At 37.4% G+C, this 22,608-nt stretch overlaps 1 protein-coding gene across 5 annotated transcripts in view; it reads left to right on the top strand.

Moving 5' to 3' along the window:
• Positions 1-22,608, top strand: part of ELL2 (elongation factor for RNA polymerase II 2) — a 76,754-nt gene that overhangs the window by 1,500 nt on the left and 52,646 nt on the right. For 3 of the 5 annotated variants that reach the window (NM_012081.6, XM_017009239.2, XM_017009240.3), the window contains one exon: positions 17,303-17,350. In NM_012081.6, the coding sequence (NP_036213.2) occupies positions 17,303-17,350 (48 nt within the window). Of the gene's footprint in view, positions 1-17,302; positions 17,351-22,608 lie in introns of those variants that run through there. The other 2 variants (XM_047416959.1, XM_047416960.1) reach the window with 2 other exon arrangements.

The following is a 22,608-nucleotide window of genomic DNA, read 5'->3' as shown; positions in this document are numbered from 1 at the left end:
TACTGTGGGAGACCGGAGTGGATACATCGCGTGAGGGAGGGATATGCCATATGGGGGAACCTGTAACGTTTTACAGGAGAGGAGAGAGTCGGAAGGGAGATAGAACCCACGGGGCATCTTACAAATAGCCCGTTCGGTACTGAGGAACACACTCCAACCGGTCTCGTACAACAGACAGAGGGGCAGAAGGACACCGAGACACAGATTCACATAGTTATTCAGCTAAAAGTGGGGAAAAGAATTGACATCTGTTGAGCTCCCACTAGTGCCAGGCACTTTAAATACATAGAGCGAAGGCAGAGTCTGAGGCAGAGCGGCAGGAGAGGTGTGAACCCTGGTTTACTGGGAGTGTATTCAGAGAGCCCCCCCACCCCATAAGTGTGCACACAGAGGAAGGCATTAGTTGTGCACGCTTTGGATAGAAAATGAACTCACATGATAGGGTATTTGTAAACAGCAGTGGAGGCTCAGAGGTGAGTGTATTGTTAGGAAGGTACTCACAGAATTGGGTGGACACATGAATGTACGTGCTAGGACACTTGTGTTACTAACCAGAGAAGCATATGGTGAAAAGGACTCACAGACTTTGTGTGGTGGGGTGAGGGGGCGTCAGGGAGGAGTGCATGCACAGGGAGAAAGGTACCGTCCTACATACAGTGAAATCTCGAGAGAAAATCTCAAGAATGGCTGGGAGAGATACAAGAAATAGAAAACTGCATGTGCCAATAGCTACTCTTAGATAGGTGCACCTGCAGTGAAGAGACCAGCATCAGACGGAGTGGGAGGCCCATATGGGGGAAGCCAGAAACACAGGCAGAGGGACAGAAGCAGACAGTGGAGAGAAACTCTGGAGAGAAACTCAGCCTTGCAAGATGGAAAGATAAGCTTGCCTGTTCCAAGGGAAGGGCGTGGGAAGGAATGGCAGTGGGAAGAAGGTAGGTCTGGGGATGTGAAGAGAAAACCCAGAGGCCCAGAGAAAAAGAAGTCAGCAGGAGGCGGCCAGCCCCTATTCAGGAGCAGACCCGAGGAGCAGAGAAAGACTTGACACACAGTGGGTGGGAAGAGGCATCTCTGGGGGCAGTAGGTCAGCCAGCTACCTTGGGAAAACAACAGGCAACTGTACAGTTGATTACAGCAAGATTGACAGTGTACACTTGTGGGGAAAGTGGGCAGATGAGGAGGTCCACTTGGGGAAGGGAAAGCGAAGTGACAGTAATTGGTCATGATCTGCATGACCACTGGAGGCCCCAGAAGGGAGTGCTTTGTTTTCCTACCTTTGTATGGCCTTCATTTCTGCTTCCTATACCCTAGTGTTTTCATATTTGGGATTAAGTTTACAGTGCTCTAAAAGCCCCTGCATTTATATACCAGTAGCTTCCAGGAGACAGAAGATCAAAAATTCTTTCTCTGCCAACCCACCACTTAGTTCTTAATTTAAAAAAAAAAAATTACTTTTTAAGAGGTACCAAAGTCGTCAATGTCTTTGTTTGCTTCTGACTGCTTCTAGTACTTTTTCCATTTCTGTACATGCCCATTTATGGGTCTGGTTGGTCTCTACAGAGGCAGCAAAGGGAAAGGAGGAAGACTTTTTCCCAGATCTCTCTACCTTAAAGCATGGAGCCAAGTAGCTTGTATTAGTCCTAGGATTCCTTTTCTCCTGCAAAACTGGTGGTAGAAACAGTGGCATGCGGGGGATGGTACATAAGCTGACCATCCTTAACCAGCTCCTATCAGGACTCACTGTCAGCTCAGCCATGGAAACACTTTTTAAGGGGTGTGGACAAGCAAGCAGGAATTGGAGTGAAACTGTCAACCTCAGTTGGATGAAAACTGGGAAGAAACCAAAAAAATGAGATAGATACCTTTCTGGTGACTGAATGTACCGTTGGTACTTACTGCAGGCTCCACCCACCTGTGTGTCCTCAGTGCCCCTCCTCCTGACTCAGCCAGACCAGTGTACCTCTATGGGCACAGTAAGAGTTGCTAGCAGTAGGCATCTGGCTGAGCTTTTATCCTCCAGTGGAAGGATATTAATTTGGTCTTTCTTGTCTTCCATCGTTATTAGAAATAGGGCTCATGACTTTAAATTGAAGCTGCTGTTTGGGAACATGTTCACATGGATTGGCTAATTGGGAAGAGGTTTCTAGTGGTCAAACCTGTTCTCTCTGGGGGGAAAATGGTTTTAATTTCTCATATAAAACTGTCCGCCACCATTCCTGTACTCATATAGGAGGGTACTTGATGGCAGGTAGCCTCTAAGCAGCTCTGGCCTATGTAAAGTGATGACTATTACTCCTTCTCTTCTAATGACTAAGAGCCAGAAATTTCAACAGGTTAATTTGCTAAATTAAGCATCAGAGAATTCTTTTTTTGTCCAAATTATTTTGTCTATTGGAGTTACCCTTCTAAATTAACCCACTTTGACGTAAGGCTTCAGAGAAGTGAATTTAAAAATTTTAGGAAGCTATGATTTAGGCAGAACAGAGAACTTCTTTAGATGTAATTGAGCAAATTTACAGCGTTCTAAGGGTTTGTGGAAACAGAATATTTGATGAAAATTTTGAAATCTTGTTTTTTTTCAAATTACAATTCCTCACTGTTTCAAAAGACACATAATCCTACTTGACCTTCATTATTCAGGTTCCCTATTTTTAGAGAAGTGATCTTGGGAGCCTTTCTAAACAGGCAGAGGGGCATTGTGAGTCCAGCAATGAGAGTTATAGTTGGAGTAAATATCTTGTAAAAGTTGTTTTGCTACTCACTTTGAATACAGAAATGGTTTCAAGTTGATTGTGTATCATGTTAACTGGAAAGTTATTTTCATGATTGGCAGAAAAATTTAGACATGATAATACAGATATCTACAATATTAACCTTTTAAAATGTAGATTATTTTGAATGAGGAGAAAAGTTGCTAAATAAATAAAATCACAAATTACAACTTTATAGTCATTTTAAATTGTTATCTGTGATTGTGTGGTCTACATAAGCTCTACATATTTTAAATGAGCATATATTACTGTAATTACATATTTCCCCCAAATGGAAAACTATATTTAAAATTAAAATCCAACATTTAAAAATACATTTTAGCTAGGTTCCTCAGTAATGCTGCTGGCTTTATTTTGATGTTTGAGTAACTTACTTTTATAACAAAAACTATATCAAAGCATTATTTTCAGATTTTGTTGCTGAGCCTGTCAGTTTAGTTTTTAAAAAATGTTTACTCAAAGTTTCAAAGGTGGTGGCTCAAATAATACTACCATGTTTGCTGACTATTACATAAACAGTCTTGCATAGTTGTGTTTGGGGGCAGGGGCTACTCCTGCTCTATCCCTGAAGATCAGAAAGCAGATGCCTTTAAGTGGGATTCTGCTAACACTTTCTCTTGTCAACTCCATTGGATTGAAATACATTTTTCTGCCTTTGTTAGTGTCTTCTAGGAAAGTGATAATGTTTTTAAAATTTGTACATATATATTGCCATTTAATTTTTCATAATTTTAGATGCTATTTACAAAGCATAAGTTCTTATTTAAGCCTCCAAAATTATTGTCCTTCATAGTAGCTCCCTTCAATGTGTTACTTGACCTTTTGTTAAATCACTGAGTCCATAGGTCAGAGGGTAAGTGACTTCCTTGCCTTATCCTTTTTTTCTACCAGGTGAACTTTTTAGCATTTGATTCATTATAGTTTAAGACACAGAAAAGACTCATACTCTGCTTTTTTCTCTTTCTTTTTTTGCCTGCCCATATTTTGTATGTGTTTTCAATAATCTGCCTTATAAATGCAGAAGACTGTTCTTAAGCCACCACTTGAGCATCCAGACCTGCCAGCACAGCACTGCCACCACTGTTGGACATGTTTATTAAGTAAAACAGTGAGGTTTGCTTTAGCAGATTCTATTTGCTCCACTTTTAAAATGTAGCCAAGTTTAATTTAAATAAATTAATCCTACTGACTTTTAACTTAGACCCATTTTCAGTCTGTGCTTGATTTTAAAATGCTTTTTATCAAGTAAAGTCAAGTTTGTGCCCCATCCTTCAGTGTTTGGAAAGTTTATTCAGATGCCCAGTTGCTCAATGCAACGGAGGGTGTTCCTCCCTGAGAAAAGTAGTAGCCAGATTGCCTAAAAAGATAGACAGGGAAGCTTGGCACCAGAATTGGGAAGAGAAAGAAAGAACATATGTGAAGGATTGGAACATGTTCAAGAAAAGAATTTAAAAGGAAAGGGGCGTAGAATTCTTGGAATGACTTACAGAAAAGCTTACCAAGGACAATCACCAGATTCAGCCTTTCCATTTGCTCCATTTGCACTTGTGAAAAATTACAGAAGCTGTGTTCATAAGGCTTATTAGGTAATTGGTGATAAAGCCAGCAGAGAGAGGAAAATGAGAATTTCAGCTGAACTAAGGCTAGGTCACTTTTAACAATTTGTGATGACCCTTTTCTCTGCAACAGAGAAGCTTAGGAGCCCGGCACTAGATCCAGCCCACCATTTGCTAGATTGGGCCAAATGTATTTTAGATTGTTTGAGAAAATGTCCCTAAAATGTGATATTATGGACATTCCTACACTGAAGATGAACTAAGTCTTACAATAAAGAAAACAACATGTATATAACCCAACATCTGACTGTCCTGCATACCTCAGCTCCATACAGAATTTCCTATAACTTATGCACAAATTTACCGCAGTTCTGGAGTAGAATATAATAAATTAATGTCCATGTCTTTAGAGCAAATTAAAGCTGGAAAACACAGCATAACTCGGGTCAGGTTACCAGCGAGGATTGCTATCTCTGTCTTTTTTTATCTCCTTCCTTCTTTCCTTCCTTCCTATTTTTTTCTGTGGCAGTACTATGGCTCTTGAGAGCCAATGTTAAATCTTCAGGAAGAACTGGTTTAAGAGTTGCCACTAATACTTTGCCAGCAAAGACCAAAACTGGCATTTGCATGGTTTAATTCAGGATATAAGAAAAGGGAATTTTATTAATTAAGCTATAAGCTCCTTGAAGATTCATGAATAAAATTATCACCTTGAATTGACCTCTACAGAAAGGGCATTTGGCTGCTGGTTTCATAGTAACTAGATTGTTAAACAAATGGCATGAGTTTCTTTCCTTCACAGGGATCCTATATGTTATTGGTCTAAAATCCTTGGGTCTTAAAGGATTTTAGCAAGATTTTAGCAGACAGAAACTGGATGGGGACCACATCTCCAGCAGAAACAATGGCATAGGTAAGCAAAGAAGAGTGGTAGCTAGGGCAAGCTCCAAGAATTGCCATAAAGACCCTGTTCTGCTTAACATGAAGGGCAAGAGAAAAATGTAGTTGAGTTTAAGAGAGAAAAAGTAGGTCAGAGCAGATTCATTACCTTACTAAGAAGTTTGGATTTTATTCTGTAAACAGAGTAGAAATATAAGGTAATTTGATCTACGTTTTAGGATTATTCTGGCCCTGGTGTGCAGGATGACTATAATGTGAATCTGGAAGGAGATAGACAAGTTAGGAAGAAGTTTGTGGTCCAGGCCAGAGATAACTGGAGTCCACCCTAGGGTGTTGGTGGGAGAGGTAGGAGATGAATAGAGTCTATAGAATTTAACAAGATATTGGCCGGGCGCAGTGGCTCATGCCTGTAATCCCAGCACTTTGGGAGGCCTAGGCGGGCGCATCACGAGGTCAGGAAATCGAGACCATCCTGGCTAACACGGTGAAACCCTGTCTCTACTAAAATACAAAAAAAAAAAAAAAAAAGAAAAAAAAAAAAGAAAAGAAAATTAGCCAGGCGTGGTGGCAGGCGCCTGTAGTCCCAGCTACTCAGGAGGCTGAGGCAGGAGAATGGTGTGAACCCGGGAGGCAGAGCTTGCAGTGAGCCAACATCGCACCACTGCACTCCAGCCTGGGCGACAGAGCAAGACTCTGTCTTAAAAAAAAAAAAAAAAAAAAAGAATAATTTAACAAGATATTTTAAAGAAGCAGGATTGAATTGAGATTTCTAGCCATTGGCACTAGGAGGAGTACCCCTAATAGAAAAAGGGAAATTGGAAGCAGTTGGGAGAGTGGAGTTGGGGGTAGGAGAGATAAAGATGTGAGTGATATTTTGGTGAACATTCACTCAGTCTTTTAGTTGATAATGAAAAGACTTGGGTTTGATTAGATGTTTTATATTTGTGAAGTATATTCAGGAGTTTGAGGCAGACAGATATATAAAACAGTGCTGTATTACTTAACATGTCTTATATAAACTGTTTTATTTGGATGGAAATTTTGGAGATTGTTGACGTTTTGAGGAAAGTTGAAATTCTTTGGGAAAAAAATTTGGTTTTGAGCAGGGCATTTTAAATTTTGTTTGTATTTTTATAGACTTTCTTTATTGAATAACGTCTATAAATTGTACTTAAGGCCATCATAAAGCACTGATAATATGAAATCTAATTTTATTTTAACATGGAAATCAGACCTTCTGTGGTTTCTGTCCTATTGATTAATGAAACGTAAGTAACTCTATATAACGTTCCTGGATTTACATTTCAAGTTTTATTTTGAAATAGTGTAATTCCTAAAGTCCTTGAAGGAGTGCTTTCAATTACCTCACATTACCTCTATTTCTGTTTTGGTGTTTTGATTCCTTTATTTCTTTTTTATTGGCAGTTCCTTATGAAAAACAAAAGAATCATGAGTGCATAAAACTTTTGCTATACATACACATTGTAATGGACTATTATGAGCGCTTGTTTCTTGATCCAGGGAGATAACCTAGTCTGGAAGACTTTTTCACTCAACTGTGAGCTTATTCAAGGGTGTAGCCAGGCTTGAACTTTCTTATAAGATTCACAGAGATACTTTAAGACTTAAATATGCTTAGCTAGAAACAAGTATTAGCATATTTTAAGATAACATTTAATATCATTGCTTTTGGCTCCATTATTAGAAACCATGATACCTCAAGAGCCAGAAAAAGTGTCCATGTAATAAAAAGTCAGCTGAGTATCTTAAGATGTTTTTTCTTTAATAAAAAGTTAAGAGGTAGAGTTAAACTACCAAATATTCGTTTGTTCACTCAGCAAACATGTATTTATCTTCTGACATTTGCCAGGGATAGAACTAGGCATTGGAGATAGAAAGCTGAATAAGTCATGAATGGTCCCTGCCAAGAAAGTGCTTGTCATTTTAGTAGAAGCAGGCAAATGTGAAAAAAAATGAACACTATAAAGTCTGTGTTCAAAGAGATGTCTTCTTTACCTGCCATCCTCTGCTCAGCCCGTTGTTTCCACCACACCCGTGAGGTTATACCTGCCAAGGTCCCTGTTAAAATCCGGTGGTCATCTCTTTGTTTCCATCTTACCAGACCTCAGTGGTATTCCATTCTCTTGACCACTTCTTCCTATTAGAAACACTTTCCTGATTTTCCTCCTACCTCTCTGCCTATTCTTTCTCATTCTCCTTTGCCTACTTTCCTCTGTTTGACTGGCCTCTGAATGTTGGAGGTCTCTATCTCTTCTCTTTATCTGTTCAGTCTCCCTAGGTGAGTTCATTTAGTCCTTTGAATTTAAATGTCATCTATACATTAATGACTCCCAAATATTTATCTCCAGATCTATCCTTTTCTCTAGCTCCAAGTACTGATTTCCAATATACTTCCTCATCAAAGTTTAATAGATATCTCAAACCTTACATATCCAAACTGTGTTTTATACCCTTTTAGGAGTTTTTCTCAAGGGTATGGCTAATCATTGCAAGGAGAAAACTATCTTCTGACAATCAACTATTTCAATAAGTACAGACATAAAGGAAATTATAAAAGTGTTACCTGATTTTGTTATTATAAAAGATCCTCTCCTTTGTTGATATGAGATTCCATGAGGGATCAAGTAAGATTTTTTTTTTAACTTTTATTTTAGGTTCGGGGTATGTGTACAGATTTGTTATGTAGGTAAATTGCATGTCATGGGGGTTTGGTGTACAGATTATTTCATCACCCAGGTAATAAGCATAGTACCCAATAGGTAGTTTTTTGATCCTCACCCTCCTTCCACCCTCCACCCTCAAAGTAGGCCCTAGTGTCTGTTATTCCCCTCTTTATGTCCATGCGTACTCAATGTTTAGCTCTCACTTATAAATGCAAACATACAGTATTTGTTTTTTTGTTCCTGTGTTAGTTTGCATAGGGTAATGGCCTCCAGCTCCATCTATGTTGCTGCAAAGGACATGATCTCATTCTTTTTCGTTGCTGTGTTGTATTCCATGGTATATATGTACCACCTTTTCTTAATCCAGTCTACCTTTGATGGGCATTTAGGTTGATTCCATATCTTCGCTGTTTCTAAAAATAACTCGTGATTTTACTCCTCAAATCTCTATCTACCTAAGTGTTCCCTATCTCAGTAAGTGGCAGAACTCTCTATCAAATTGCCTAGAAATTGACTAGCAACCCTTGATTTGTCTCCTGTTTTCTTGACATATTTGATCTATCAGCAAGTACTGTCACCTTCAAAATATCCTGAATCTAACCCCACCCATTACTGCTATTCCAGTCCCAGTTACCATCATCTCTCCTCAGGATCACTGCCATAAACTTCGAGGTGGCCTTCAAGTTTCTACCCTTCCCCCATAATCCACAGCAGCTAGAGTGATCTTTTCAGAACATTAAATATGATCAAGTAGTCTCCCAGTTTCAAGTCCCCAATGGCTCCCTTTGTAAAAAATGTTTTAGATGCCACATTTTATTAATTTCTAGTTTTAAAAAAAAAAACTTCATCTTCCAATCTAAGCTTATTTTACCACTTCTCCTTATACTTCTGCTTTAGAGTTCATGATCCCAGGAAACAAATCTTTATTTGCATTTACAGTCAGATTTGACATATAAGCTAATTATACAATTATAAGGCCCACATTAAATCTGGGGGAAAAAATGGTGGAATACTATGCTTCAAGTGTTGTTGATTTATTTATTTATTTATTTATTTATTTTATTTTATTTTTGAGACGGAGTCTCGCTCTGTCCCCCAGGCTGGAGTGCAGTGGCACAATCTCGGCTTACTGCAAGCTCCACCTCCTGGGTTCACGTCATTCTCCTGCCTCAGCCTCCCAAGTAGCTGGGGCTACAGGCGCCCACCACCACGCCTGGCTAATTTTTTGTATTTTTAGTAGAAACAGGGTTTCACCATGTTAGCCAGGATGGTCTCGATATCCTGACCTTGTGATCCACCCACGTCGGCCTCCCAAAGTGCTGGGATTACAGGTGTGAGCCACCATGCCTGGCCAAGTGTTGTTGATTTAAAGGCTGGTTCACAGTAACTAACTTTTTGGCTGGTTGTTTGGTTTAGATTTTTGCCTTCCATGTTCAAGAGCTATTTGAAATCCTAAGATTTAAGACAACCATATATATGAAGATTTTATATATATATATATATATATATATATATATATATATATATATATATATACACATACATACATACATATATATATATAAATAAAACTTGGCATGTATCAGATAGCCACCATTTTCTAGAAGCTATCTTTCAAAACAAGGATTGTGCTAAATAGATGTTGGTTTTGATAATCCCTTATATTTCACTCTTTCCATGCTGTAGTGGCTAGAAAGAAATTATTCTTTACTTCATATGTTCTTTAATCTGGTTCTTCCAAATCTGCAGAAAAGGAATTTCTTTTGAATCTAAGGTTACATTGACTCACAGGGAAAAATACTAGATTGGTTTTGTGAAGCTTAATGACTTTCTTTTTGGCATCTAATAAAAGGTTTGAGGCAAAGAAGGAGATACCATTTTTTAAAGTAGTTTTGGATTATTTCTAAATTTCATATCATGTATTATTCTAAGCATATTATTGGCTTTTAACAAGAGCTGAGTGTATTTTATTTCTTCAGGATCAACTGTCTGATTTCTTGTGCTATTTTCTGCTTTTAACTCCAATTTTCTTTCTTCCTCCTCTCTCCTTGCCTAGACATTTTTTATTACAGTGGTTAAAATATAATTATTAAATAGTCTTCTTTGGGTTCTCTATCAGATGATGTCTTAAAGAACAAAGAAAAAAGTGACTCTTGAACAAAAGAATCATTACTACCAGTTCTTAAATAGCATAGGGGGAAAGAAAGATGATCTATTTTATCCAAGTTGCATCCCAGGGAAAAGCATGTCTACTTATTTACTTTTTACTAGTGCAAGTAAAAACAAGTTCTCAAATTGTCTGGTATTTTCCTTCTGCCATAGTGCAAAACCAAAAAAGTGATTCTTAATTCTCTGGCTTTCAGTTTCAAATTTCATATTACTATTGTTGAAGAGGGGCAGGAAAGACTAACTATATAAAATGCTGAATAAGAGCACAGTTCTGAGCCCCAGGTCACTTATTAGCCATGTAGCCTTCAGTAATTCACAGAACTTACCTGAGAAATGAGAATAATAGTATCTACCCCACAAGGGTGCTTCTGAGAATTCCCAGAGGTGGTAGTAAAAATGGATAGTGCCTGACACATTGTAAACGCTCAAATAGTAACTGGTTAGCTAAAACTGTTTCTTTAAACAATCCACTTTAAGTACTCACTTGAACCATCACCACTTATAGAAAGTTTTTTTGTTTTGGGCAAAGTTCCAAAATTATATTTGACATTGGAATTTTTTTTTTTTTTTTGCAGTATCTTTATCATGGCTTATAATGCAGCTTAGATACAAAGGTAGATACCAAGTATTTAATAAATACTTGCTGATTGATTTCAAATAATTTAAGAATTCTTGAATTAAGTAAAGAATAATTCAAGAGTTAACCTTTAGTTAACTCAAAGTTCCATGATGGGTTCAAAAGGGAAGCTAAAGGTGTCTCAAAAACATCTCTAACCTTAAAGAATAAAGTTGGAAAGATCTCTATAATATTTTTTAGAAATATTGTTATTTTCTAGGCCCAGAATGCTATTTCTTGCTTGTATATTTGTAAAACTGACAGTTGTTGATAAGGGAAAGGTAACCACACATTTAATTTGTTTACATGGGTAAGCAATATGTAAATAATCAAGAGATGGTTATAAACTACCTTTATAGGATAACTTTTTTATTCAACTCCAAAAAAACAGCTGTGCTCTTCTCCCACCCCAAAGGAATCATGTCAGAATTAATATTCCTTAGGAAAATGAATATTTCTTAGGAAAATGACTCAGTAAATTATATATTACTTTTATAGTTCTGATATATTGTGAGGAATAGTCCCTGGAAATAAGTGTACATAGATCTCTTTGGTCATAGAGCAATTCTTGTTGCAGTAGCATTGGCTTGTAAATGCAGATGTCAAGAGTATAACCAAACTTAAGAGCATTTTAGCATTGCCTATACTACTATTCTGTGCTTAGGAATGCCCAACATTTCATAAGAGGTATAAAGGGTAAATTCAAGGAGCTTCTAAGAGCAGTGAAAGTACTAAAATTTGACAGAATCTTTTGACTGCAAACCATCACTTTTATCAGGTTGTTGAAGGAGTTTCCCTAGCCAATTACAATCTGCCTTTGTGTTCTTGGTTGGAAATAGATACAAGATAACTCTCTTACTTATAGCTCAAATACTATTCCCTTAAGCCCTAGAGTAACTTGATTTTCAGAAGAGCTACTTGGTGAAAATATTTACTTAAAGCTAAAAGCAAAAGTTGAAGCCTTACCTGAAACTCATTTCTAATGGGAATGTATTCAGCAAATGTTTAAAGATACAATGAGTTGAGGTCATGTTTATACAATTAAACTTAGGCTAAAAAAATTTGGATAAAAAACTAACATGCTTTAGACATTTGCTTATAATGGTATTGACTTCTAAACTTTTTCCTGGTGGCTCTCTTAATAACACAGTGAGTGATCAGATACAAAATAAGTGGTGTAGAGTTCTGTTTCTTCCTGTGGCTTTTTTTTTTTTTTTTTTTTTTTTGAGGCGGAGTCTCGCTCTGTTGCCCAGGCTGGAGTGCTGTGGCGCCATCTCGGCTCACTGCAAGCTCCGCCTCCCGGGTTCACGCCATTCTCCTGCCTCAGCCTCCCGAGTAGCTGCGATTACAGGTGCCCACACCACACCCGGCTAATTTTTCGTTTTTTTAGTAGAGACGGGGTTTCACCATGTTAGCCAGGATGGTCTCTATCTCCTGACCTCTTGATCCGCCCAGCCTCCCAAAGTGCTGGGATTACAGGCGTGAGCAACCACGCCCGGCCTTATGGCATTTTTAAAAACATTCAAGAGCTGCAGCCTAGTTAACATGTTCTTTTCTAAAATTGGGATTAAAATCAGTAAAGCCTTTGAGGTTCTTTTAAGTATTTTTCTAGATTGCTAGATATCTTAAAAGAATTTCTGAGTAACAATGAGCTTAGTTTGCCCTGTTTGGATAAGTACATACAACTATTCCATAAATGAGTGTTTTATTATGTATTAAATAAAATGGTAACAAATATTTATGTTCTTTCACTATACATCATCCTTAAAGGAAAAAAAAACTATTTTTTTCAGTTTTTAATCAGAAACTGAACTAAATTATACTTTAGTTTTTTTGGAAATTATAATTACTTTATGAAATTCATTTTCCTTGGAAACAAAATGCCAAAAGAACTGAGTGAACATTTAAGGTCTTTTAAATATTTAGCACTAGGGGGTAACACATTTCAGAGGCAAGAGAGAAAGAAAGAGTACTGTATTTGGAATTCAGAGGACTGGATTTAAGGCCCAACTCTGCTAATCACCAGGTCTGTGATCCTAAGCGATGTACTCTACCTCTTAGAGACTCATTATTTATTCTGTCTCTGAAATGGGGGATAATGATGCTTTCCTACCACCCAGGGCTGGTTTTAGGAGGCTCACTTGAGACGATAGATATAAAAATGCTCTGTGCCATACATTAGAAAACTAAATAAAAATTATTCTTGTTGAGGAGTCAAGCTGTATAGGTAGAACTATAAGCATGTCAAGAAGTCAAGTTCTAAATTCAGGGCGTGAGGTAAAAAAAGATTGTATATAGTCAAAATTTCAAGTTTCTAAATTGTTGTGAAGAATAGTACATATTGTCTTGTCTGTACAACCCTGAATAGTAATCTGCATATGTGTACAGTGTGTATAGTGGTATACTTCATATATAAAGAGAACATATACAAAATGATTTTACAATACTTTTTTTTTTTAGCTGAGCACGTAATACTTGTAAGTTACATATGCCTAAGACTCCTGTATCATAACAATCAGGAATAAGACAACCTATGAAAAAATATACCTTATGTAGTGGAACAGTAGATGCTGGGATCTGAACAAACAGCTAATGAGATTTAACTCATAGTTACATAGTTCCAAGTTAGCAAAATGGTGGCACCAGAGTTTTGTTTGGCTAGAAACAGGTTTAACATTTTTAAATTTGGATTTTTTTCCTTTGGGCATTCATTTTCCAGGTACTCACCACTCCTTGTTGCCTTACATCCATCTGTTCCAAAGACCTTTGGGTCTTTGAAGACATTGAAACATTGAGTGTTTGACTTCTGGTTTATCCAAAGGAAGGTCTCACTGAGGAAATTAATGTTGAGCTTGAATGTTAAGTAAGCAATAACTATGGATTGGCAAAGTAGAGCTTGGGAATTTATGCCAGGTTGGAAGAACAGGAAAGAGTTAGAGAGGAAAGTCTTTGCAAAACAAACAAAGGTTAACATAGCTGAGCCATTGTTGGGAGGAAGTGGAAGATGAACTTGGTTGATTCTGGTTGATCTTGGTTGATAGCGGATGTGTTTTCTATTTAGTAGTTGGCTTTGTTTTGACAGACAGTGGTAAGAACTACTGTGGGCCAACAGTGGTATATGAGAGAGGTTCTGCTGGCTATTTGAACAATTTGGAAGGACTTCAAGGAAGGGAAAAAGCCATTGTCTAGTTGTGAGGTGATAAGGGTCTTGCTTTTGAAATGGAGACTAAGAACTTAATTTGAGGGAGTTTGGGGCAGAGTGGCCAGATTTGGTGACTGGGAGCCCTGGAGCCACGCTGGCATCATCTTTCTTTGGTGTCTGATATTCAAGCTTTCAGCACATCTTATCATTTTTCCTGGGGAATATCTGCTCTGTCCACTATCCCCTGTTAGCTGCAGATGCAGTCATACTAACTTAGGCCTTTATTACCACTTCCAGGGTATTTCTAAAGCATCCGCCCGGACTGCACTAGCTCACTTCTCCACCCCTGCCCTGCCCTGATCCATCTCTCTCCATCTATTTTACACATAACTGAAAGAGCTGCCTTCCCCCAAAACACTTCTTTGAGCAACTCTCTTATACAAAAAATTGAGAGAGCCTCCAATAGTTTATCAAGTTAAAGGCAAGAGTAAAACCCATCAGTGAGGGGTTAGGGAGGGGATTAGGGCAGGATTATTTCAGAGTGATAAACTTTTTGGACAGAGTCATCCTGAGGTCTGAAACTTAAATTATTGCCCTATTCTGTAGCAAATAGAAACTAAAAATGAAGACACATTTTGAGGATAAGGAAAAATTAGGCAGGAATTTACAGGTCAGATCTCATCCTTGCTGTTGTATTTCAAGTGGGAAAGAAGCGTACACATACAGACCTGCCCTCTGACCATACAGTGTCCATTCCTGTCTTCTTGCTTTTTTCCTCAGGGTATTCTCTCTCCTTGGAACTTACCTTTTCTAAACTGCTATTCAAGAGCCACCTTTTCAATAAACATTTATGTGTTCTAACCCGTACTGTCCTTTTTGAGAATTCTTACTACACTTCCCAGTGCTACTTAGCCTAGTACTTAATCATTCTCAAATTTTCCCCAACTAAAAGATGAACTCTCTGGCATGAGGGATTATGCCCCCACACTCTTGAATACCCCATTAACAGATGTGTGTGGAACATAAGGTAGTAGAAGAAAAGCAGCATGGCAAAATAGGGAGATTGAGTCTTGGGTTCTGATCCTGTGGGGCATAGGCGCCAACTGTATTATCTCTAAGGCCTCATCTGGATTTGGAATCCTGTGATTCTAGTGGCATGTAGTATGTAAACGACTAATAGAATATGAAGTCGGGGAGAGAAGAGACTGTAAGTTAATTTTAAGGTGGCGAGCCTGGATAACCAAGAGGATAAAAGTGCCTTTGCCAGAAAAGTAAGAAAGAGGTGACGGTTTGGTTGGGAAGGCTGGGGATGGGGGAATTAGTTTCATATTTGCCAGTCATTGAGATTTGCTGCCATTGTGAGTTTCTAATGCAAAATGTCCTATCAGCAGTAGTAAGTAGCAGGCTATGCAGAGGTGCCAGCTGAGGAATGGAGAAGAGATTCAGAGTTATCACCCAACAGGTTCAGTGAGCCTCCAGGATGAAATGGATCTAGAAAGAGGAAAGGAAAGGCACTAGCCTTTCGAAATGAAAGGTGTGATCAGAGAGCTGGGAGGACTGATGGATATCCAGTGGGGATATCAGCAATTTGAAAGCTGAGAAGTTTGCATTTATCTGACCAAGAAGAATCAATGAACTTGTTGGAGAGAGAATTTCAAATTTCATTGGTGAGCTGAAGACAACCTCTGAGTTGCCAGAATTCAAGGAGGGAAGTGTAATGAGGGAAGTGTAATGAGGTTATGTTCAGTGCTTCTGATTTGGAGAGACATTCAGAAAGCAGGACTGATGGAAATATTGTGAAAGCTGGAACATGAACCTGTATAATCTCAATTGTAGGGCCACCTTACTCTTCCACATGAAGAGGGGCTACCTAGGCCCCTATGGGCATGCTTTCATTACTTCAGGAAGAGTGAGTTTAGCTGTGGAAAGTAGTTTGGGGGTGGCATTTTTCGCCTTAAGAAAGTTAATCTATATTTATATTTTCATAAAAGACCATGAATTAGAATGAAAATCTACTAAAAAATTGGATTTTAAAAATTCAGGTACTACCTTTTTATTTTTCCTTTTTAAAAAGCTCACTTCTCCCACACCAATAAATGAATTTGTTACCCAGTAGTACTTAGATTCTGCTGATAAGTCTAAAGTTAAATGATCTTTTATGGTAGTAGAACAGTAACAGTATCCATTATAATGTTTTCTCCAAGAAGATATTTGTTTATTCATTTTTATCAATAATAATAAGATAGCTAATGTTACACTTGATTTTACATTCAGGTGGTCTGTCTTTTAAAGAAGTTCTTATCTTTATTTCTCTTTCTCTTTCATTTATTATAATCCCTATTAGTAAACTTTTAAGTCTGCAGAGAAGTTTTGGGAAGCATTTGGAAGTAGTAGGTGATGTGCTATAGCTGAGGTGAGGAACATATTAGTGCCTCTATATTTTTATTTGGGGTAGAGATGAGACCAGAAACCACTGTTTTTGTACATTGGATTTGAATATGAAGGTGTGAATAGTTTATAGGCTGATGTACTACCATTAAACATTACCCAAATCTGATTTCTTCGTGGGTTTCTGTTGGCAATTTGGAAAAGCTTTCCCATAGAAAAATATGCTGGTGACTTTGAATACAGGAAATCATGCAAAAGACTATGGCTGACATTTATGATAACAGCTTTTCTTCTAAATGCACAACTCTATGATAAAATATTGAAGTTATCAAGAAGAAAAAGCTCATAATAAAAAACACTGATCTAGAAATTACATTCTCCTGGTGAGAATCATGTGAGAGAACTGGTAACCTGTTTGGCTCTCAATTAAAAACAAATCTCTGATAAAATGTGAGAAAATAGCAAACAGGTTTATTCTCAAATATTTAATTTTATATTTCTAGCATCCTGTTACAGTATTGCAAAGTTCCTCCAATTATCTCTTCCCTCCTCCCACCCCTATTAAAAATATACCAGGAAACTATGCAACAATACAGTTTTTTTAATGTAAAATTGAATTGGTATACTAACCATTTTTTGCCAAATCATGTTGGTCAGTTTCAAAAACATGATTAGCTGCACTGCCAAAAAATATATTTTGTTTGTGTGGTTCAGAGAGAAATGTAAATAGTGTGATATGGTTCATCCAAGGCATCTTAATATAGTAACATGCAAAAGAAAGTATATAATGAAAAGAGATTTTCACACATTATGACACTGACCAAATACATATATTTCTTTCTTTCTTTTTTTTTTTTTTAAATAGAGATGGAGGGGGAGGTCTCACTGTATTGCCCAGGCTGGTCTTGAACTCCTGGCCTCAAGTGATCCTCCTGCTTCAGCCTCCCAAAGTGCTGGGATTAGAGTCATGAGTCACTGTGCCTGGCCCAAATAACATAGATTTAAAGTTTAAACATTTAGTTCTATGTCACAGTAACCAAGGTTTACCTGTTTGTTTCTTTTGTTTCTTTTAATAGAATTTAATTCCTTTTCGACCTTCAATCCAGTTCCAAGGACTCCACGGGGTGAGTACTCTTATTGATTTAACAAACAAATCTAATGTTCTTGCACGCTATTCAACTTTTAAAATCCGTTTTCAGTTGACCCTTTTATTATAATCAGCCACTCATTCTGTGAGCTTTGTGACTAAATGAAAATTTCTGACATCTTTAAGATGCTTGAATTATCTTATTTTATTAACTTACTTTTAAAAAATTCATATATGGTTATTGATATTGACAGTGTTTTTTTATCCATAACATGGATAATTGCATGTTTGAACCTTTTTATTGAAGTATAACGTACATCAAGGTATTATGTGAGTATGTATTATCACAGCTTAACATCCATACGGGATTATTTATTTCAGGCAAGTTATGATTGTAATTGCTTTTACTATTAACAAAATTTTGCTGTGTGTGCACTTTTTTAAGTTGTATATACCAGGAAATGAAATATGTAAGTAGAAATTGAGTTTTTCATATATACAGAATAAACAAAGTTTTCTGTGTATTTTATTACTGCATTTAAAAGCACAATAAATGATAATGCCTAATAAAATGGACTTATGAATTTTGTCTTTATGATAGATGATAAAGTTTACAGGAGTAGAATCAGTACTTTAAAATTATTACTATTAATATTTCATAGTAATAAAATAAATAGTAGACTCAATTATTCTTTTTGCTTCTTCATTTAAATTAATATGTATTCTATATTTGCCTCTATATATTAGCTATAAAATGGAAATTTGTAATATCCGTAAATGGATTTTTAGAGCTATAGAGAAAACATAAGCTGAGGGAGGAAGATTCTTGATTATTGTAAATCTACAGACTTCTGAATTTTTCTTATGTCACAAAATGCAAAAGTGTCAATTTAAATAAATAGTCTTTCTAACCTTTATAACTGGAAAACAGTTCAAGAGTCAGATTAATTACATCATTCAACACAGGCCAAGAGTACTTCTAAATGTGTTTTGTAATGCTTACTTGAAGGAGATGTTTGTGTGGATGTCAGAGTTTTGCTTCTACATGACAGCTTTACAATTAAGTCCTGTTTTCCTCTTCAGTGACTAAGTGTTCATGAATGGGATCCTAACTGGAATAAGTATTCTTCTGAATTTTGTTGTATAGCTTTTTAGTAGGTAGTCATTAGCACATGCTGATTTTCTATTTGAGGGCTTAGTTCAGGTGTTTATTTAAGGCTTCTTGAGTTTTCCTGCAAATTTTAATGGCAGCAATAATATCTGAAGAGATGTGCCAGGGTCAGGCCTAATTCTACCAGCCCTGGAGGGCTCCATGGATTTTCACTAAAGGATTATCTTGGGAGAAGAGGGCTAGAGGAAGAGTATAAGGTTTGAGCTGCATTTCTCTTACTAGGAGCAGTAGGGTTCTAGGGCTGATGCTTCCCTTAATTCTTTCTCCTGGGAAATGCAAGTAAAGGATATTTTCTAAGGAGGCATCAAGTTATGCCAAAACCCTAAATTATGGGGCACCAATATGTGCAGGCTTCCAAACTCTCCATTCTGACCCTTGCAGTTTTTAGCAGTCTAGGAGGGAGTATGGTTTTCTCTAGCATACTAGTTGCCCCTGGGCCCCAAGCAGCATTGCAAAGCAGGCAGTTTATATTTGAAATCTTAGACCACCTTTTCTAAATTTTCCTACCTATGTCCCCCTGTAGCTTTCCTGTTCCATGTGTCCAAGTGCCCTCAGTTTATCTTTGCCTGCTCTACTTTCTCTTCCTACTTTATTCCTTGCCTTGGTATAGTTCACTGATGGAAGCAATTTAGATATAAATGACTGATGGGTTTAAATCTTAATGGGTGTTTGAATTTTAACAGATAAGCTTTTTAACCCAAGCAAATGGTGATTGGATTTGGTAGAGTAGATGAGGAGTGGAGGTACTATAGACTGAGAGCTATAGGATGGTTGATCCTACCTTGCTTATTCTGTCTCAACCCCCCACTCTTTTCATTATTCTAACTGGGAACAAAATATATGGACTCAGCATTGTTTTAGAGCCTGCAGCTGCATTCCATCCACCCCTCCCCCCCTTCTTTTTGCAGAGCTCTCCCCAGCTCTTTGGGACTTAGTAAAAACAAAGAGTCATTACTGGGGAGAGAGTGGGTTGGCACAGCCCACAGGGAAGACGCAGGGCCACCGATGTGAGGGTCTTCTGTACACTGCTCCTCTGTTTTTCTCGAGAGCCATGATAATTTAATGTTGCCTTGCTGATTGCTTTAAATCCTCTCTGAAGAAGTATGCTTACAGATTTTTTTCCTATGTGAAATATGTTTAGGGCTTTAAATTAATAGATTTAAATTTAAATTTTCCACAAAGGATACTTTTCCTTAATGAGAAATTTTATTTGTCTTTTTACATCAAATATGACTGAAATTGTACCTTAACTGTCATGATACTGTCATATATAGGCATATTTGACGTATAACTAAGCATTGTTAAAATATCGTTTTAAAACTGAACATATAATGTTAAAATCATTTTCTGTTTCCCTGATGAGACTCACACTAAGCACTGCATGGTTATACTCTTCCTTGTTACTAATTATAAGATTTTTTTCCCTCAGTGATGTCTTTAGAAGGCCAGAATTTGGGTCTTGGCTGGTTAGCTTTTAAGCATATTTGCTTTTGTGCCTGAACATGTTCCCTTAGGTTGAAGTTTTCTTCTAAATAAATGCAGACTGAAATATTAAAGTATAGCAATATGCTGCTAAAGAGTAGAAATTCTGAAAGTCATTGATTACCTGGATTTTTATTATCACAGTTGGGCAGCAGCCTTTGTAGTATTAAAAATATAAATTGTGACTTCACTGTTCATTTTACCCCTGTTCCTTAATGGAAAAAGGTGCTCAGAAAATTAGATGGTCATTGAAGGCATTTTCTGGATTCAGAAAGGTGAGGAAATATCTATGGTAGCAGTTGATTCTCATTTCTAAACTCATGAATATCAGGAGGTGAATAAATCATCCAAAATTGCTTTGCTGATTCTGAAGAGAGTGAATCAACCAATTCTCACAGTTCTAATCTGTACCTAAGATACTTACAACTAAAGGTTTACTAGGATTATAAATCTCTCTAGAACAGCATATTTAGACAGAAATGGTAGCCGGTACGTTCACATGGGCTACTGCATTGTGATCTTCAAGTTACAACATTCAGAGGGGTATAATGGTATAATGCACCCAATTTCCAAAAGCAACATTTTTATTGTGAAGTAAGCTTTATAAAAATCAAGATAGTTGTATCTACTGATCTGGTACTGAAAATGTGACAGGTGATAATTTTCCACAGATGTGTTTCAGTACATTTTTAAAAACTAAACTCTGTATTTGCATGCTTGTTGAAAGTTTCTTGTCTAAAGACACACAGTTAATAGAGGCAGAGCTGTAACTACAGTCTTGTTCTTCACACTGCTAGGGAGAAGTTCTTCCTGCCATACTGTAATAGCAGTTGTTACTGATGCAGTTATCAACCAACGTAATTGTTCTAAGCAATAAACTATAAACAGGTAGCCTAATCAATGAATGTGTTAATAGGTTAATTTGTTGTTCTGCTTTTTTCTTATTCACTGTGCAAACATTCTTTCAGCCTTTAGTAGTGCCAAGTGCTTGTTATGTACTTTGTGTGAAAAGATGCAGGGATGGGCATGGCATGGGCTCCACCCTCAGAGAACGCACAGTCTTAACAAACACATACAGACTAATACTTAGAAAATAATTCATAATGTAGGATTCATCCAGAACCCTCCACTCAGAACTTCTATGGAAATGGGGGACTATCAGGAACAAGGCGTATATGTGTATTTGTCATTGGTATGAAATAGCCTTTTAAACAAGGGTTTTAGTAGATACAAAATGTCACATCTTGGCAATAGGTGTGTAAAATTCCAGAAGACCTATTTAAGAACTGTGTGTGTGCATGTGCACACACACAAAGGTAAGTGTGTGGTATGTTATAATTGAGATAAAATCTGAAATGGCAAAGTTTTCAATAGTGAATAATGCCCATATCTGCTGGCATGTGGTAGCCTTACAGAGTGGACTTGCCTCAGGCCTCAGGGACTCATGTCCAGGGAGTAATTTCCCCAGGGCAGTGAGAAATAATGCTAACTTTGTCACAGTATATGAGATTCTAGACCTCGGTATTAACTCAGTATTTGTTATGAGAATATTATTCTTAAATTCTTTCTAATTTAGTTGCTTACTTTCAGACTCAGCAATCCCAGAGGCTTTAGAAAATAGTTTTACATAACATAATTTTTAGAAATAATAAAATAATAATTATTTTTTGAGACAAGGTCTTGCTCTCCAGGCTGGAGTGAAGTGGCACAATCATAGCTTACTGCAGCCTTGAACTCCTGGGCTCAAGCAATCCTCCCTCCTCAGCCTCCCAAGTAGCTAGGATTATAGATACACAGCCATGACTGGCTAATTTTTTGTTGTTGTTGTAGAGATGGGTCTCACTGTGTTGCCCAGGCTGGCCTCAAATTCCTGGCTTCAAGCAATACTCCTGACTGGGCTTCCCAAAGACCTGGGATTACAGGTTTAAAGCACCATACCGGGCCTAATTTTTAGAAATCATGTTTAAGAATTTAAGAAGAGGACTGAAAATAGAAAATATTTTCTATAAGTACCATGCAGTATCTCCTGTGAAACACTGAGTCACACACACTTTTCCCAGAATGAACAAGGAATAGCCAGCCAAACAAGTTCTAAATGTATGCCTTCTAAAAAGGCACAATGACCTTCCGAAGATGAAATTGGCATTTAACTGGTAACTTTAAAGGCTTGAATACTGCTATAAAACTCTTTCAGTAGAGTCATTAAACAGAGGGTTGGATTTTTCTTCTCGTTTTTTTATCCCCAAACTTAGCAAAGCCTTCAGAGATATTTTGTTAATTATTTATTTTACTTTGTGGGGGGTGTGGAGAAGATTGGGTTTGAAAAACAAAATTATACAGTATTTGAAGTTAGTAGGCAATTTCAGCCCCCTTGAAAATGCTTCCTGCAGATTGTCCTTCCCTACCCTACTTGGTTCCTGGGGAAGCAAAGATAGCTATCAGCTTGAAATACACAGCAAAGATAAAAATAAATCCCCCGCACTGCCATACCTTCTTAGATAATATGCCTTCCCTCCGACTTCTTTCCCTTGATGTTTTGGTTTGGCTAGCCCACTGGTTTTGCCAAGGGTTGTGTTTAGTCAGTCGGCTCTGAATGTTGCCAGCTAACAGCTACCTTGATACTCTTGGCTCTGAGTGTAATT

Source organism: Homo sapiens, chromosome 5 (assembly GCF_000001405.40).
Source record: "Homo sapiens chromosome 5, GRCh38.p14 Primary Assembly".
Taxonomy (NCBI): domain Eukaryota; kingdom Metazoa; phylum Chordata; class Mammalia; order Primates; family Hominidae; genus Homo; species Homo sapiens.
This window is presented reverse-complemented; position numbering and strand designations above follow the sequence as displayed.